The sequence below is a fragment of the Homo sapiens genome, chromosome 9 (assembly GCF_000001405.40).
Source record: "Homo sapiens chromosome 9, GRCh38.p14 Primary Assembly".
Lineage (NCBI taxonomy): Eukaryota > Metazoa > Chordata > Mammalia > Primates > Hominidae > Homo > Homo sapiens.
The window spans coordinates 98,666,720-98,685,408 of NC_000009.12; the positions used below are offsets into that span (position 1 = coordinate 98,666,720).

At 43.1% G+C, this 18,689-nt stretch overlaps 1 protein-coding gene across 1 annotated transcript in view, besides 1 other annotated feature; it reads right to left on the reverse strand.

Moving 5' to 3' along the window:
• Nucleotides 1-18,689, reverse strand: part of GABBR2 (gamma-aminobutyric acid type B receptor subunit 2) — a 420,827-nt gene that overhangs the window by 378,611 nt on the left and 23,527 nt on the right. The window lies entirely within an intron of this gene.
• Nucleotides 1,117-1,302: a silencer, noted in NCBI's record as "fragment chr9:101430118-101430303 (GRCh37/hg19 assembly coordinates)". NCBI's record gives its function as "represses an EF-1alpha promoter that drives an FKBP-Casp9 reporter gene in an ReSE screen in HepG2 liver carcinoma cells {active_cell/tissue: HepG2}" and the evidence as "EXISTENCE:reporter gene assay evidence [ECO:0000049][PMID:32094911]".

Here is an 18,689-nt window from a genome sequence, read left to right on the forward strand (position 1 = left end):
TTGGACAGCACAGGTCTAGAGGGCCTGAGCAACAGAGAGGGAAGGCTTTCCATGTGAGACAATGGTAAAGGTACCATTAATCTTTCAGCTACAGAGACCACCTGGTTACTTCAGGCCCCTTGTGCCAAGAACCCAGCAGACCAGAAGAGGAGCCACTGCCCTGGTAGGGGTAACTGATCCTGGTCATCAAGAGGGGCAGGGCTGCTCTTAGGTGATGGGGGCCTGGAAGAGTGCGTTTGGTGCCCAGGTGATCCACTGGGATAGTGCTCCGTGGTCCTTTGCCCAATTTTGACAAGTAAATAGACAGTGCAGCAGTCATGGTCTGACAAGAACACAAGAACACAGGACCAGGGGCTCAGGGTCCTCAGGAATGAGGGTCTGGCTCAGCCCACCCAGTAAGCCATTTAAATCAGCAGAGATGCTGGGGAATATAGAACAGAGAGCAAAGGAGAGATGATGGGTCTCAGCTGTTTCCCAAAGCCCACTGTAGCAGTGGGGGTTGTAGTTTGTCCCTCTAACTTCCTCTTGTAAGCTTCCTAGGAAAACAAACCATAGAATTCTAGGGAAGACATGCCAGAGGGGTGAACTTACTAAACAGAGAAAGTGAATGCCAGCAGCAGGAGCACTGGGTGGGGTGGGGCTGCCATCCACTGTCCAGGTCCTCCCTTCCCCTTCAGGAGCTGGGCACCGCTACCCCAGCTGCAGGGAGTGCTGGCTGCTGACCAGAAGCCACCCTCGGCCAAGTGAGCTGCGTTACCCACATTTATGTCCCCTCCCCAGGGGCAGCCCACATCCAGTAACTATTTGACATAGGGGTAGGAAGACCCAACACCCTTGCCTTGATTTGGGACAAATCTGAAGGGCTCTCCCACCTTCAGGGCTCCCTGCGGCATCAGCTGAGGCCTCTGCTGCAACTGTGTGCTGTGTGGCAGTTCAATCTCTCTGTGCCCAATCCTGCTTCCCTCTCTCCCTTACAGGTACTGTTGTGGAGAATAGCCCTGCAACATAAAGCTCCTGCACGCACATCTGTTTGGAGCCAGTTTCCCGAGAAATCTGACCTGTGTTGTAAATATCTGCCTTGGTTATTGTTTATAGATATAGTGGATACTGTGGGGCTCCACCTCAATCCCTTTTGCTGGGCTGATATGCCTGTCCCCCCAGCTGCTAGGAATATCAGCTGCTGACAGTGAACAACTGAGTCCTTTACTGGAACTTGCCCTCAGTGTCAGGGAGCTGCCTCATCCCACGGGGCAGCCCAGGGCCAGTGACTGGCCGATGCAGGAAAACAAAGGCCCAGTCCCACTGCCTCAATTTGGGACCGCCCTGAAGGGCCATTACAGCTCCAGGGCTCTCCCTGGGATCAGCAACAGCCTCAGTTGAAACCACAGTGGTGGTCCATCTCTGCCTCTGCCCCCTCCCTCCTACCGTCCGTCCTCTTTTGGCCACAGTCGACTTTCCCATACACTCCCCAATAAAACTTTTGCAGGCAATTCTCCATCTCAGAGTCTTTTTCCTGGGATCCCAACTTAACAGTGGCTTTGATTTTCAGACATTTTTAAATTCTGTATTCAAATTTACCAGTCTTTGTTTTGGTGGCTGCTGCCCCTTGGTATCATGCTTAGGCAAGCCCTGCAGCGTCCAATGGTTATATCAGTAGCCACTTCTACCATTTTATGGGTTTTTTTCACACTGAAATATTAAAGCTAGAAATGATTTTGCTGTAAAGATTGGAGGTTGGGGAGTAGAAAGCTAACATTTTAACTTTCTTAATTCCTTTTTTATTGTGGCAAAATACACATAACATAAAATTGACCATTTTAGCCATTTTGAAATGTACAGTTCAGCAGCTTTAAGTAAATTTACATTGTTGTACAACCACCACCACCACCATCCATCTCTACAACTTTTTCATCACCCCCAACTAAGGCTCTATACCCATTAAACACTGACTCCCAATTCTCCCTCCTTCTCTGCAGCCCCTAACAACCACCATTCTATTTTCTAAGAATTGGTCTTCTCCAGGAACTGCACATAATTGGAATCATAGAATATTTGTCTTTTTCTGTCTTCTGTATTACACTTAGCAGTATGTCCTCAAGCCTCATCCATGTTGTAGCATATGTCTGAATTTCCTTCCTCTTTCAGGATAAATTATATTCCATTTTGTGTGTGTGTGTGTGTGTGTGTGTGTGTGTGTGTACACTAAATTTTGTTTATCCTTTCATCTGTCAATGAACACTTAGGTTGAGTCCCCTTTCAGCTATTGTGAATAATGCTGCTATGAACATTGGTGTACAGATATCTGTTTGAGTCCCTGCTTTGAATTATTTTGAGTGTCCTTCCAGAAGTGGAATTACTGGATTCAATGGTAATTCTATGTTTAATTTTTTGAGGAACTGCCATATTGTTTTCCATGGTGGCTGTACCATTTTACCACCAGCAATGCAGAAAGGTCCATTTTCTTCACATCCTCACCAATACTTGTCATTTTGTTTGCTTCTGTGGTGTTTTTTTGTTTTTTAATAAAAGCCATCCTAATGGGTGTAAAGCGGTGACTCGTGGTTTTGATTTGCATTTCCCTAAAGGTTGGTGAACTTGACCATTTTTGCATGGGCTTAATGGCCATTCGTTTATCTTCTTTGGAGAAATGTCTATGTAAGTCCTTTGGTCATTTTAATTAGGTTGTTCTGACATTTAAACTTTTTAAATGTAACCAGTCATCCTCAATACCTTTTGTTGATAAATTCAGTTCTTCTCAATCATTTCACATTCTAATTTATTATATATTAAATTATTGTATTTATTCAGGCACGCTTCTAGAGTTTCTATTCTGTTCCACTGACTGGCTATCTCTTTTTGGTTTTAGAGCACAATGTTTTAATTAACATAGCTTTATAAGTCATCCTATTAGCTGTTGTTTTGTTTTGCTTTATGTTGCTTCAAATCATTTTAGGAAAATGGCAGAACATTAATACCATAAGTCTTAAGACCTAGGATGTTATTGATTCATCACTCCACAAATACATGTGGAAGACTATTGCTGGGATTGAGGATGCAGAACAGACTAGGGGCAGGGGCTGGGGGCTGGCACAGTCAATGGGGCATGTACATGCAGGAAACCAGAAGCACACATCATGAGGAATCTAGTCCAAGGAGTCAGGAAAGGCCTCCTTGAGAAGGTAATGTTTGAGCTCGAATCTTAACAAGGTAGAACCAAGAGAACGCAACCAGGAGAACGAAGCAAGCGACCAGGGCGGGGGTGGGAGGATGCAGCCAGGCAAAGGGCAGAATGCCAGCAAGCCACGTGTGCAGTCTCCAGCTGAGATGGGACTAGGGGAGGATGAGGGCCAGGCAGAAGGGCCAGCCGAAGGACTGTGGACTTTCTGCTAGGAAGAGTAGGCCATGGAAAGCTTTTAAAAAATAAACAGGTTTATTGAGATATAATTCACATATACAAATTACCCCTTCAAAGTGTACAATTCAATACTTTCTAGTATATTCACACATATGCACAATCACCACAGTCAATTATAGAACATTTTCGTCACCTCAAAAAAAAAAAACCCAAATACTATGTAACATCCATTATAATGGCCACTACCAAAAAAGTCCAGAAAATAACAAGTGTTGATGAGGACATAGAGAAATTGGAACCCTTGGGCACTGTTGGTGGGAATGTAAAATGATACAGATGCTATGGAAAACAATATGGCGGTTCCCCCCTAAAAATTATCATATGGTCCAGCAATTCTACCTCTACGTATATACCCGCAAGAATGGAAAGCAAGATTCCAAACAGAAATTTGTGTGTTCATGTTCATAGCAGCATTATTCAGAATAGCTGAAATGTGGAAGCAGCTCACATGCCTGTCAACAGATGAGTGAATAGCAAAATGGAGTGTATACATACAAGAGAATATTATTCAGCTTAAAAAGGAAAGAAATTCTGACATATGCTACAACATGGATGAAACTGGAGGACGTTGTATTAAATGAAAGAAGTCAGTCACAAAAAGACAAACAGTGTATGATTCTACTCATCTGAGGTACCTGGAGTAGTCAATATTGTAGAGACAGAAAGTAGAATGGTGGTTGCCAAGACTAGAGGGTGGGAAGAATGGTGAGTTATGGTTTAATGGATACAGAGTTCAGTTTTACAATATGGAAAGAGTTATGGACATGGGTGGTGGTGATGACTGTACAACATTATGAATGTATTTAATACCACTGAACTGTACATACACTTAAAATGGCTAAGAAGGTAAGTTTGATGTTATGTGTATTTTACCATGATTAAAAAAATGGAAAATGCAACCTAAATATACCCAGACCTATTTTTTAAAAGACACCAATAAACAGACATCATCTTGCTTTCATTAAAAAGACAAACAGGAAAATAATCCCATACCTTTAGCAACCACTGCCACCCCCCCGCCCCACTTCCCGCTCTCTGCCAATCTCTAAGCAACTACTAATCTACTTTCTGTCTATGTATTTGCCTATTCTGGACATTTCACACGAATGGAATCCCACAGGATCTTATGTGACTGGCTTCCTCTTTCACTTAATGTTTTTAAGGCCCATCCATGTCGTAGCATGCATCAGTACTCCATTCCTTTTTATGGGCAAGCAGTTATCTATTTTATAGATCTACCACATTTTGTTTGTCCATTCGTCAGTTGATGGACATTTAGATTCTTTCCACCTTATTGGCTATTCTAAATAATGCTGCTATGAACATGAATGTACAAGTGTTTAGGTAGACATATGCTTTCATTTCTCTTGGATACATACCTAGGAGTGGAACTGCTGGGTCATATGGTGACTCTATGTTTAATCATTTAAGCGACTGCCAGACTGTTTTCCAAAGACCATTTACATTCCCACATGGAATGAACAACGGTTCCAGTCTCTCTACATCCTCACCAGCACTTGTTATTATCTGACTTTGGATTTTAGCCATCCTGGTGGGTGTGAAGTGACATGTCATGTGGTTTTGATCTGCATTTGCCTGATCAAGGAAGGCTTTTAAATGGGGGCCCAATACAATCAGACTTTTGAACAGTTCACTCTGGATAAAGAATTTGAGGACAGCAAGAAGTCCATGAGGTTGTGGTTAAGAGGCCACCGCTGTTGTCTCGAGATGATGGTAGCTTGGACTATGATCAAAGAGATGGTAAAAAGCAGAGAGTTGGAGAACTAGCAGATAAAACCTACAAGGTCTGGAGATCACTGGGTGGGGGCATGAAGGAGGTATCAAAGGTTTCTTGTTTGTAGAACTGGGTGGATGATGGTGCTCTCACCAAGAGAACCCAGAAATATAATTTTTAATTGTGATGAAAAAATACATAATATAAAATTTACCATCTTAACCTTTTTAAAATGCACAGTTCAGTAGTGTTATGCACATTCGCAATGTTGTGCAACCAATTTCCAGAACTTTTTGTCTTTGCAAAACTGAAACTTTACACCCTTAAAAAAACAACTCCCTATTTCCCCTCTCCCCCAGCCCTGGCGACCACCATTCCACTTCCCGTCTCTGTGAATGTGACTACTCAGGAAATCTCATATAAGTGAAGTCAGACAGTATTTGTCTTTTTGTAACTGGCTCATTTCACTTAGCATGATATCCTCAAGGTTCATCCATGTTGTAGCATGTGTCACAACTTCCCTTTTAAGTGAGAACACAGAAATATTTTTTACTGACCAGCAAAAAGCATAGGTTTATTCAAACCACTTTCTTCTTCAATACTACACTCAAAGTTTGAATCTAAGCCTTCTTCAGATGCAGATTCTCAGGGTTCGTCTGAGTCGGTGCCTGTCTTGGCCAGATGGGCACAGCATTCTGCTGAAGCCCTGCTGTTTGTGACCCAGACTGCAAGACCTTGAACCCCTCAGCATCTTTCAAATGAACAGAACAATTCTCAGGCAAACCCAAGGATAAAGGAGATAAGGGCCTTTCATCTGAATTTCCTATTTGGTTATTTGCTGTTTCACTTTTCTTTAATTAAATTATCTGCTGATGGGAACTAGACAGTTTATCTTTAAAGTCTGTCCAAAGCTTTTAATAATTTCGGGCACTTGATATTCCTTCATGACACAAAAGTTGGTCACGGCCACCTCCCTTAACTCTGAAAATTTTATGATCTATTCTGGGAGATTTGGCAATTTCAACTGCCTTTAATCATCTTGGCTGGCACATGACAGCAATCTTCTACATTCACAATAATTGTATTACTTCATTATAGTGTCATCTTCTAAAACACATAATAAGCAATCATTTAGGAATCCAAATGTAAGTTAAAATTCAAGTGACTGTAAAGTCTCCAATGAAATAAGTGACCATAGCAACTGAGGTGGGAAATAGATGAAACCCCATGTACACGGAGATGGTGACAATGTCCACAAGAACTTATTCCTTTGTCCTCTGGCAAGGTACATCCTGGTTTCAGAAACATTAAAATATCCAGGGAAGATGTGCATCTTAGAATCAAGAAGACCCGGTGCATATAGAGAGGCAAAAGGAATATAAGGTTTATGTACAGCCACAGAAAGTGCCAGCTGGCACCAAGAAAATAAAATAGCCAAATAGATAATCGCCTCGTGCAGCACTTTTTATACCAAGAATCATAGTGCATGGTGGGGAAAATGCTACATGTGCAGAGGACAACTAATGAGGACTGAGATGAAGATCTTGAGTCATCAATAAAAGACTGAATTAAAATCACCGTATCTTAGAAGGTGGAATGTGAACAGGACTTATCTCTGAGAGGAGTAGATGAAGGGAGAAAATTATTATACTTTATAAGTATTTTCTTGGTTTTTCTTCTACCATGAATATGTACGAGAAAACGTTTTCTAAGTTGAAAAAAAAAAACAGGGAATAAAAAGATTTTAGAAAGATACACAGGATGGCCAATATCTAAAAGAAAACACTTTTGGTGTTTAAATGTGAAAACTTTAGGTCCCTGAAAATAAGCACCCGAGTACAATTGATGCCCTAAAGATCCTGAATAAACGGGGCATAACAGAGCATGGAAAGCCTTGCATAATTGCCACTATCACTGTGGTTTTCCTATAAAGCACTGTTCGACACACAAGCCCTTGTCTGACCTACGCTCACTGCTAACACTTCAGCTGCTGCCTCTGAAGGTCATGAGGAGCCCTGTTGAGGAGGAGATAAATGATAATGGTTTTTTTTAAGGGCAAAGCCTCGTTTGAGGCCCATCAGTCACTGCAAATCCTGTCCACATACCCCACATCAATCCTCTAGGGAAGGAGAAATGGTTTATAAACTTTGCTTAACAGTTAGAGACTCCCTCCTCCAGCCTTGCACAGTTCAGGCTGTGTGGTCATTTCTGTCTCCATCATCATCTAGAGAGGGAACAGGGGGTTTTTATAAACTTCCCTTGGCAGTTCTCCACTCCACTGCCCAGGATGGTGCCTGGAACACAAAAGGAGCCTAAGATAGAGTAGCTAAATGACATGGAAATCCAAGCTTCCACAGGATTCCCATGTCCAGTTGCTTGTTCTTACAAGTGACTTCACTAAATCCATCCACACAGCCCAGGAATCGCAGTGGTGTCATCAACATTACTCTGAACAAACAGATCCCACCCAATCACGAAAGCCAGGAATGCCACGTGAACATCTGGGGGTGCCATAGGATCCTTCACCTTGTCCATTTTCACTTCAAAGTGCTGGCTCCTGGTCTAGGGGCCCTGAGTGCTGGGTGCCTGGTGGGCAGTGAGGGTTGAGAGTGGGGGAAGAGGCAGAAATAGGTAAGAAAAAAATCCCCACCGCAGGACCTTTTGTGTTCCAGGCACTGCAGGAGTCCAGTGTAGCAGAGGGCAGGGCGGCACCTGGATCTCACACACCTACAGTACAGGACTCGGGTGTGATGGATGAAAGAGGTGAGATGCCCACACAGGAGAGTCCATGACAGATGAGACAAGAAGAGAGGCTACAAGGTGGCGGCCCAGCATGGTGGGGCCAAACTGCCAGCCCTTAGCTGGGTCTCAGAGCTGAAGAGATGTCAGTACTCCTGCTATGAACAGGGCTCAAGGAGGATAAGGGAGACCCTGAGACTGGAGGGTTCAAGGCCATGGAAGAGGCTGTGCATGTGAGCCATCCACAGGGGCATTGTGGAGGGGACAGTGTGGAAGCTTCATTTCTCTCTACACCCTCTTCTCTTTCTGCCTCCCTAGGCTTCAGTGGCAGGAGTCCCAAGGACTAGTTTGGAAGGAATCCCCAAATCTTAAAGTGAAAGTTCAGCTGGCCAGGCTCTCCCTTCTCACGAAGCTGGAAACTGAGGTTCACAGGAAGCATGTGTCTTCCCCAGGCCTCTTAGAGGGTCTAGGGAAGAGGATGGAACCTGGGAGCTCTGACTCAGAGGGAAGGGCCTTTTCTAGTTCCCACACCAGGTCAAACACATGGAGAGTGAACGCAGATATGTTTTCACCTGCCATGAAGTGGGAACCAAGTGGTGACTTCCCAGCAAGCACGGCAGGATGGCAATGGTGCTTTGGTCAGTGGCCAAAGCAGGAGCCACCATGGATGGAAGAGGCTTGAAGGAGGAGGAACCAGAGGAAGGCAGGCCAGGTGAACGGCTGTGGCAGGTGCCCTAACCACAGTGACAAGTCCTGGGCCAGTTCCATGAGCAGTGAGGCTATGAAGAAAGGCTAGGAGTGAACACCATGAGATCTGGAAACATGAAGGGAGTCAGCGGACACAGGGGAGGGCCAAGGAAAAGGAGTGGTTAGAGATGACGCCAAAGCCCTCAGCTTGTGTGATCAGCATGAGGACAGTTCTGGAAAACTAGGAGAACAAGCCACATTTGCAGCCTCAGATAATGGGCTCAGTTTTAGCTGTGTAGGGCTATGTGTCTATTCTGAAGGTGGGAGTGGGTGAGTGGAATCCAGGAAGGATGTGAAATTAACAGTAACAAGTGTGGACAGCTAATCTGCACTAGGGGCCTCCTCTTCATTTCCCTTGCCCCAGATTGAGAGTCTATGCACTTAAAGATCAGCACTGGATATCCGCCACCTTTTGCTTTGTATAAAGAGATATTGGTTGAACCAATGAAGTTCAGGGTGGTATGGAGGAAGGCAGGCAATACTCCACCAAATGTTGCTGTATTCAACATTTCCAGAGCATCTGTGTGGCAGGCATTAAGAAGACACTCCTCTGACATCCTTTCTCCCTTTCCTTCTTTTAGTAATAAAACCTCTTCTCACCTGTAATAGATAGAACAAAGCACACCCCCCCAAATATATCCATGTCCTAATGCCAGAAACCTGTGGATATGTTACCTTGCATGGCAAAAGGGATTCTGCATATGTGACTAAGAATTTTGAGATGGGGAGATTATCCTAGACCCAGATAGGTTTGATGTAATCACAAGGGTTCTTATACGTGGGAGGCTAGAAATCAGAGTGAATAGCAAGAGATGTGACAACAGAATCAAGAAGCTTGAGTGATGCAAGGAAGGGGCCATGTGCCAAGGAATGCAGGTGACCTCGAGAAGTTGAAAAAAGCAAGGAAATGAATTCTCCCTTCAGAGCCTCCAGAAGGAATCAGTCCTGACAAGCTTTTGACCTTAGCAAGACTCATTTTGGACTCCAGACCTCCAGAACTATAAGATAATAAATTTGTGTAGTTTTAAGCTATAAGTTTGTGGTAAATTTTTATAGCACCAATAGAAAACTAATATGCCACACCATTATCTAGCTAGAGATTAAATGTAACCAGCTTCCTTTGCAGCTAGGTATGACTATGTGACAAATTTCTGAAATGGGATTGAAAAGAAGTGACATGTACAACTTCTAGGCCATCTTCAGCTTTAGGACAAGTTGCTTGCTCTGGATTTCTGCAATTTTTTTCCCTCTTTTCCCCTTCTGGTGAGCTAAAACACAAATGTGGCAGGGACCCTATTGCAACTACTTCAATGAGGGCAAATCCTATAGCACGATGGGACAACAAGAGTTAAGGAACTCAGATCCCTGAATGACCTTGTGGAGCAGAGATGTCTGGACCAGCCATAATGTTGACTGAGGGAGAAATAAGTGTTCAACTTACTGAAGCCGCTGTATTTTTGAGCCTCTTTTTTACAGCAGCTTACATGTAACCCAAACATACTGACTAAAGGAAGTCCCAATTTAGCTGGACAAACACAGAAACAGATCTTTACACTATTATAGGATGAATGCTTTGATACAGAGATGGGCAAGGTGCTCTGTGGGCACAGAAGTCTCTTGTGATGCAACTGAAAGAATTCCAGATTGGGACCTGGGACCTCAGATGGCCATCCACTCAAGCTATGCCCTCAGCCTCAACTTCCCCTGCCTTACAGGCCCATAAAACAACAGTGGTAGCACTAAAGATGAAATAATCTTTTCACATAGCCAAGAAGACTACTGCACTATTTGGAGCCCAACTGCACTACCGTTGCCCAAGTCTTACCATCTGCAGCAGTTATTTTCAGCTCAAGAAGATAGGTCTGGGCCACTTGCACGCCTCCAGACCCAGGCTCTTGACCAAAGGGAGGTGTCTGGCAAACTGCACACTGGCCAGCCCCCAGACAGCTGAAGGCTTGATCCAGACAGCAATCAAGTCAAAAGCGAAGAGCCCTGGTCATTGGCTTTTCACATATTAATAACTGGAGGATACCTGAGACAGGTTTACAACATCTTATAGGCATTCAAGCAGTTTTGCTGATTTTTCAGAATTTTTTTTCTGGTCCTCATGGTGGTTATTGGCTATGTATTCTCTCTTTAGATCTTGTTCATTTTCAGCCAATTGTGCCTGCTCTGCCAAAAAACTTTTGAGAAATGAACCAAAAATACCTAAGAGCAGAGTTTGGAAAATGGCCCTTAGATAAGTCAAATCATGTCATTTCCCTGCTCAAAGTCCTCAAATGTCCCATGGCCAGAAATCCCTATGGGATCATCCCTTCTCTGTCTCACACTTGACCCTGCCCCACTCCATCACTCTGCTCCAGTCCTACGGGCCCTCTTATTGTTCTCAAACTCCTCAAGTACACTAGCCTCAGGGCCTGCAGTGGCTCTCCCTCCAGCCTCGACCTTCACAGGGCTCTCTCTCTCTCCTCCCATCCAATCTCTGCTCCAGCACCATCTCAGAGAGGCCTTCTCTGGACACCAGTTTCAAACAGAAATCACTCACCCGTAAATATTAGGGCCTGACTGTCCTTTGTTTTTGTTTTTTTTCCTAGTGCCATCACCACTTAACATGTTACCTACCTAGCTAGCTATCTAAGATGTATTTATTTTTGCATTGTCTGTCTCCTTTATCAGCACGCAAGCTCTCTGGACGGAACTCTCGTTTTGTTCATTGATGTACCCTCCCTCAACCCCCACTGTCTACAACCTATAATAAATGGTTAATATTTGTTGACTAAATGAAGAGTGCACCAGAATTACCAATACATGGAAATCCAGTACTGGGGAGTACTGATTTTTCTTTTTGCCAACTCATTATTTTGGACCTAATTTTCACCTTGATCATATTGTTTTCATCCTGCTTTAGAACAATTTGTTTTCAGCCAAAACAACTAGAACTATCCTGGGGACACTACCAACCACTGCCAGCTCTAACCACTGGCACCCTAACCGCTTATTTACTTAGAAAGCAAGTCTAATTTCCCAAACATATAGAATGCGCCCCAACGCGGTGGCACCTTTCCTGCGAGGTGCTTCGCTGGAAAGCCTGCCCCTGCTGGCAGCTGGCAGAATCTTGAGGTTGGTAATACAGGAGACCAGCAAGGCTGTAATTAGCACTTGACAAGCACTTTATGTCCCGCAATTTAAATGTCTATGGCATTGTAATTCAGTTCCTAGTTGAGGCAAACATGATACTAACCTCATCTGGAAAACGGGATGAAATGAAATGTCTCCTCACATTTATGGCCTCCTAATTAGTGCATACGGGGAGGTGAAGCTCCCCAGCCATCCCACCTCCAAATTTTCAGAGTGCTTTCTCTTTCACATCCTCCTAAAATTCATGCCAGTGACTGAGCCTGCACCCATGGGCTCCAATACATGTTGACTGAGTACCTACTGCAGGGAAGACTGATAATTTCCTATGGTTGTTTCTATGTAAGGTTTCTATACAGTTGGGAATGAATGACTGTCTATGATGGTCTTAAGGACAGTTCTTGACTTCAAGGTGTTTATGGTCCACCTGCCTGCAGAAATAATTCTGAAATGCAAATCATTTGTATGGAAGAGGCTGAAAAAGCATTTAATAAAATTCAGCCCTCATTTCTGATTTTGAACAAAGCCCTCTTAGCAAATGGGAAAGAGGATACCTCCAGGACATGACAAAGTCTGCTGCAAATAGCCAGTACCCCAAGCAGTAGGCAAACAGCAATCATTCCATCAAACTCAGGATGTAGACAAGAATGTGGATGCTCATGACTTCTGCCCAGTCCAGTCCCCAAAGATGACGACAATTCAATCCATGGACAAAGAGGCAAGATTAAAATATTGGAAAGGACAAGGCAGAAGTATTGCTACTTGCATACAATATGACTGTCTTCCTGGAAAAACTCAAGGAAACCTGTGAGAAACCACAGGACCAATGAGAATGCTCTATAAGGCAGCTGACTAGGAAAGTGATATTCACAAATCCAAGTTTTCTCCACACCAGCAATAGTTAATTAGAAAATACCTGTGGAGAAGAGAAGCCACTATAATAGCAAAAGAATATCACTCACAATAGTGACAAAGATTAAAACACTGAGTAATTAACTTAATGAAACAAGTAGAATTTCTATGAAAAGGGCTGTAATGATTGGAGCTGCTCAAGAATATTTGTTGAATGGATGGGATAGCCTTCAGGACACACTATCCCCAAATCTGGCACCTTGGCATTTGAGAAAACAGCAGTACCAGGAAGGCCATTCTCACCTTCCTCACACCCTTCTCCCCTGGAGCAGGTCATAAAACCTAGGGAAGTCACTCTTTGAGCTTCTCCCGCCCTTTTCTCTTGAAGCAAGTCAGAAGACCCTCATGGAGAGGTGCCCTCTGTATACCAAGGGGAAAGGAACATCCTTATCTCTGAAGACACAGGAGCACAGAGGGGAATCTGAACAAACAGGCCTTGGCAAATTCCTCCCAGTTTATTACCATTAGATCACACTCTCTTTGTCCAATCAACTATCTCCACAACTATCCACTTTTTCATCAAACCTAAGCATAAAAATACACAAGTTTACCTGCATCTTTGGGCCTTTGTTTCCTTATGAAGGCTCCTGTGTCATGTAAAACTTATATTAAATACCTTTGTATATTTCCTCTTTTCTCTTTAATCTATCTTTTGTTATAGGGGCCTAAGCCATGAACCTAGCAATGAGTGAGGGAAAAAACATCTTTTCTTGTCCTGCAAATGAACAACTACGATTTTCTTCCAGAGGCATATGAAACAGGTAAGAATAAAAGAAAAGATGTACCTTACTTCTGAATGTGAAGACTCAATACTGCAAAAAAAAAATTATTCTCCTTTAATCAATTTCTAAGTTCACCAAATTCCAACCAAAATACTAATTCTATTATTATCATTTTATTTATTTATTTATTTATTTTTTTGAGACAGAGTCTCGCTCTGTCATCCAGGCTGGAGTGCAGTGGCACGATCTCGGCTCACTGCAAGCTCCGCCTCCCAGGTTCACGCCATTTTCCTGCCTCAGCCTCACGAGTAGCTGGGACTACAGGCGCCCGCCACTATGCCCGGCTAATTTTCTTTGTATTTTTTTAGTAGAGACGGGGTTTCACCGTGTTAGCCATGATGGTCTCGATCTCCTGACCTCATGATCCGCCCACCTCGGCCTCCCAAAGTGCTAGGATTACAGGCATGAGCCACCATGCCCGGCCTCTATTATTATTTTTAGAACTCAACAAAATGGTTCTAAAGTTCTAGCATAAGAATAAACAGGTGAGAACAGTTAAGACAATCCTTGCAAAGAGAAGGTTCATCATGGAGGAGACTTCCCTTATGAGATATTAAAGTATAATATAAACGTAAGGTGACTTAAATACCGGGACACTGACCCAGAAAGCATCAGACATACCTATGGAATAGAAGTTCAGAAACAGACTAACTATGTATAATGTGTCATTTCAAGTAAGCAGAGAAATGAGTCATTCAACAAATGGTATTGGAGCACTGGATTAACCATTTGGAGAAATATGTATCATTAGAAGTTTACTTTATAAAAAATAGATTAACATAGTAAAGAGTTAAATATTACTGTTGGTGGGACTGTAAACTAGTTCAACCATTGTGGAAGTCAGTGTGGCGACTCCTCAGGGATCTAGAACTAGAAATACCATTTGACCCAGCCATCCCATTACTGGGTATATACCCAAAGGACTATAAATCATGCTGCTATAAAGACACATGCACACGTATGTTTATTGCGGCATTATTCACAATAGCAAAGACTTGGAACCAACCCAAATGTCCAACAACGATAGACTGGATTAAGAAAATGTGGCACATATACACCATGGAATACTATGCAGCCATAAAAAATGATGAGTTCATGTCCTTTGTAGGGACATGGATGAAATTGGAAATCATCATTCTCAGTAAACTATCGCAAGAACAACCAAACACCGCATATTCTCACTCATAGGTGGGAATTGAACAATGAGATCACATGGACACAGGAAGGGGAATATCACACTCTGGGGACTGTGGTGGGGTGGGGGGAGGGGGAGGGATAGCATTGGGAGATATAACTAATGCTAGATGACGAGTTGGTGCAGCGTACCAGCATGGCACATGTATACATATGTAACTAACCTGCACAATGTGCACATGTACCCTAAAACTTAAAGTATAATAAAAAAAAATTTAAAAAGATATTTGTGAAGACATAATTAAGACTACTATAAAATATTTTACCATGACAACTAAATGAATAATTACAACCTAAAAATTATTTTTTATAAAATCAGCTCATATTTTTCCATCTCCTTATGTCACCAATTCCTCTTTTTGATCAAATAAATTCAAGAAAACAATAAAAAAAAGAGTTAAATATTTAAAAATCAAACCATTACTGTAACCAAAAGGAGATATAAGTGGGTTATTTATAAAGCCATGGAGTACTTGCAGGACTTTCTAAGCATGACACCAAAAGCAGAAACCACAAAGATATAAATCCAGCTATGTGAAGATGTTTAAAACCCCTACATTGGGCCAGATGCGATGGCTTATGCCTGTAATCCCAGCACTTTGTAATCCCACTTTGGGGGGTGGAGACAGGCGGATCACTTGACTTCAGGAGTTCAAGACCAGCCTGGCCAATATGGTGAAAACTCATCTCTACTAAAAATCAGCCAGGCATGGTGGCCCGCACCTGTAGTCCCAGCTACTCGGAAGGCTGAGGCAGGAGAATCACTTGAACCCGGGAGGTGGAGGCTGCAATAAGCTGAGATTGCGCCACTGCACTCCAGCCTGGGCAAGACAGGATAAGACTTCATCTCAGAAAAAAAAAACAAAACAAAAAAAAACCCAAAACAAACAAAAAACCGTATATTGAAAAATAATGTAAAATTAAAGGCAAGTGAAAAAACAGGAAAAAATATTTACCACACACGAGATAGGAGATGGATTTTACCATCTTTTTTTTTTTTTTTTTTTTTTTTTTTGAGATAGAGTTTTGCTTTGTGGCCCAGGCTAGACTACAGTGGCATGATCACAGCTCACTGCAACTTCTGCCTCCTGGATTCAAGCAATTCTCGTGCCTCAGCCTCCCAAGTAGCTGGGACTACAGGCGCCAGCCACCACGCCCAGCTAATTTTTATATTTTTAGTAGAGACATGGTTTTGCCATGTTGAAGAGGCTGGTCTTGAACTCCTGACCTCAGGTGATCCACCCACCTCAGCCTCCCAAAGTGCTGGGATAACAGGCGTGAGCCACCACTGCACCTGGCCTGATTTTACCAATCTTAATACATAAAGCAGTTTCACAAATCAGCAAGAAAGAGCTACTCATATTTTAAAAAATAAGCAAGAGATACAAGTCAATTCACTAAAAATGAAAGGCTCATTAAACATTTAAATACATTCAACCTTTCTGATAAACAAAGAAATGCAAAGTGAAAGTTTATCAACTGCCCAATTGACAGAGCTTTTGATTTTGTTTTGTTTGTTTGTTTGTTTCAGAAATAATTCTCAGTCCTGTGCTCTGGGAAAGGGTCTACACACCCACTGCTGTCCAAGGACAGCTTGGCAGGAAGTACAGTGTCAGATTCCAGTGCAGGTCCTGCGGTGGGCTCAGGGGGCTTCATCCCCTCTATGCCACTGCCCAGCTCTGAGGTCTTGGGGAAGTTACTAAACCTCTCTCTTTCCCCCCTCCACCTCCCCCGAGACGGAGTCTTGCTCTATCGCCTAGGCTAGAGTGCAATGGCGCGATCTCAGCTCACTGAAACCTCCACCTCCCAGATTCAATCGATTCTCCTGTCTCAACCTCCCAAGTACCTGAGATTACAGGCATGGGCCGCCATGTCCAGCTAATTTTTCTATTTTTAGTAGAGACCGGGTTTCACCATGTTGGTCAGGCTGGTCAGGCTGGTCTCAAACTCCTGACCTCAAATGATCTGCCCACCTCGGCCTCCCAAAGTGCTGGGATTACAGCTGTGAGCCATTGCGCCCGGCCCAAGTTACTAAACTTCTCTGAGCCTCTGATGTTTTATCTTGAAGGAGGAATAATAACAGCTCCTACCTACGCTATGAAAATTAAACGAGATCATGCATGTAAAAGCCCATAGTAAGCTCTCTACAAATGTCCGAGATGACTACGTGTTAAAATACTTAAATTTTGCATCCCCTCTGGCCCAGCCAATGCTAGATTCTAAGAAACTAATCATGGAGATGCGCATCTATTTTGTTTCCGGGCTGAATGCGGCACCCTTGTTTAGAAGAGAAAAAAAAAACCAACAACTAGAAACAACCTGCATGTTCGACAACAGAAAATTAATCCAGGCCGGGTGCGGTGGCTCACGCCTGTAATCCTAGCACTTTGGGAGGCCGAGATGGGCAGATCACAAGGTCAGGAGATTGAGACCATGCTGGCTAACACGGTGAAACCCGTCTCTACTAAAACTACAAAAAATTAGCCGGGCGTGGTGGCGGGCGCCTGTAGTCCCAGCTACTCGGGAGGCTGAGGCAGGAGAATGACATGAACCCAGGAGGCGGAGCTTGCAGTGAGCCGAGATCTCGCCACTGAACTCCAGCCTGGGCGACAGAGCGAGACTCCATCTCAAAAAAAAAAAAAAAAAAAAAAAAAAAAAAATCTAAATAAATTATGGCCTAGTGGAATTTTGGGAAGCCACTTAAAAATATGAAGTAGAGACTCTGGCAGAGCCAGAAAGCTCTTCAAGATATACAGTAAAAGGAAAAAAGAAGAATGCATTTTACCACGGTAAAAAAAAAAAAAAAAAAAAAAAAAATTGGTTGTGGGGGGTGGGACTCAAGTAACAGCAGCAGATGATCTGAAGTCTATTTTTTTTAAGTCTGATGAAATCACCATGGTATCAACAGTGATTGTGTTAGATAGTCAGGTTATAAGTGATTTGAATTTTCCTCTCTTTATTTGCATTTTCCAAATTTTCTACAAAAAACATAAATTACTTCTATAATAAGATAAAAACACTACTAGTTATCTTTTTTAAAATGCAAACTCTCCAAATATGAAAATAGGAGTTTATTGTTAGGATGATTTTTCAGAAGATGCAAATGTCCTTGTAAGTATGCATTTCCCTTCCCAGCTGGGAAAGGTCCAACCATCAGTGGTGACGGATTCCATTGGCATGATATTGGCTATAATCCAAAGTCCAACCGAAACTGCTCATGATACCCAATGATATCTATCAATTCCTTGGTATATTCTGGAAAGGGGGCTTGTGATTCCAAGATAATGTATCTATCCTAAAACATCAAAACCAAATATTGTGTGATACTCTACTGTAACATTTCCCAAAAGCAGAGTGAAAGCAACATCTATGGTAGAGACAAACTTTACCCCGTCCAAAGCTTCTCTTATTACGGATCTGTATTTCGTCAGCGCAATGGACTCTGCTTGAATTCCCTGCCTCAAGGATGGAATTCTGGGCTTTCCTCAAGGCCAGCTGCTGCATCACCACCTCCTCCCAAAACTGCCCTGATCAAGGTAGAATGAGGCATTGATGTGATGGTTAATATTGAGTGTCAACTTGATTGGATTAAAGGATGCAAAGTATCATTCCTGGGTGTGTCTGTGAGGGTGTTGCCAAAGGAGATTAACATTTGAGTCAGTGAACTAGGAGATGCAGATTCACCCTCAATCTGGGTGGGCACCATCTAATCAGCTGCCAGCACAGCTGGGATAAAAGCAGGCAGAGGAAAATGGAAGGACTAGACTGGCTGAGTCTTCTGGCCTCCATCTGTCTCCCGTGCCGGATGATTCCTGCCCTAGAACATCAGACTCCCAAGTTTTTCAGCTTTTGGACTTTGGGAACTACACCAGTGGTTTGGCAGGGGCTCTCAGGCCTTCGGCCACAGACTGAAAGCTGCACTGTTGGTTTCCCTACTTTTGAGGTTTGGGGACACAGACTAGCTTCCTTGCTCCTCAGCTTGCAGACGGCCTATTGTGGGACTTCACCTTGTGATCATGTGAGTCAATAG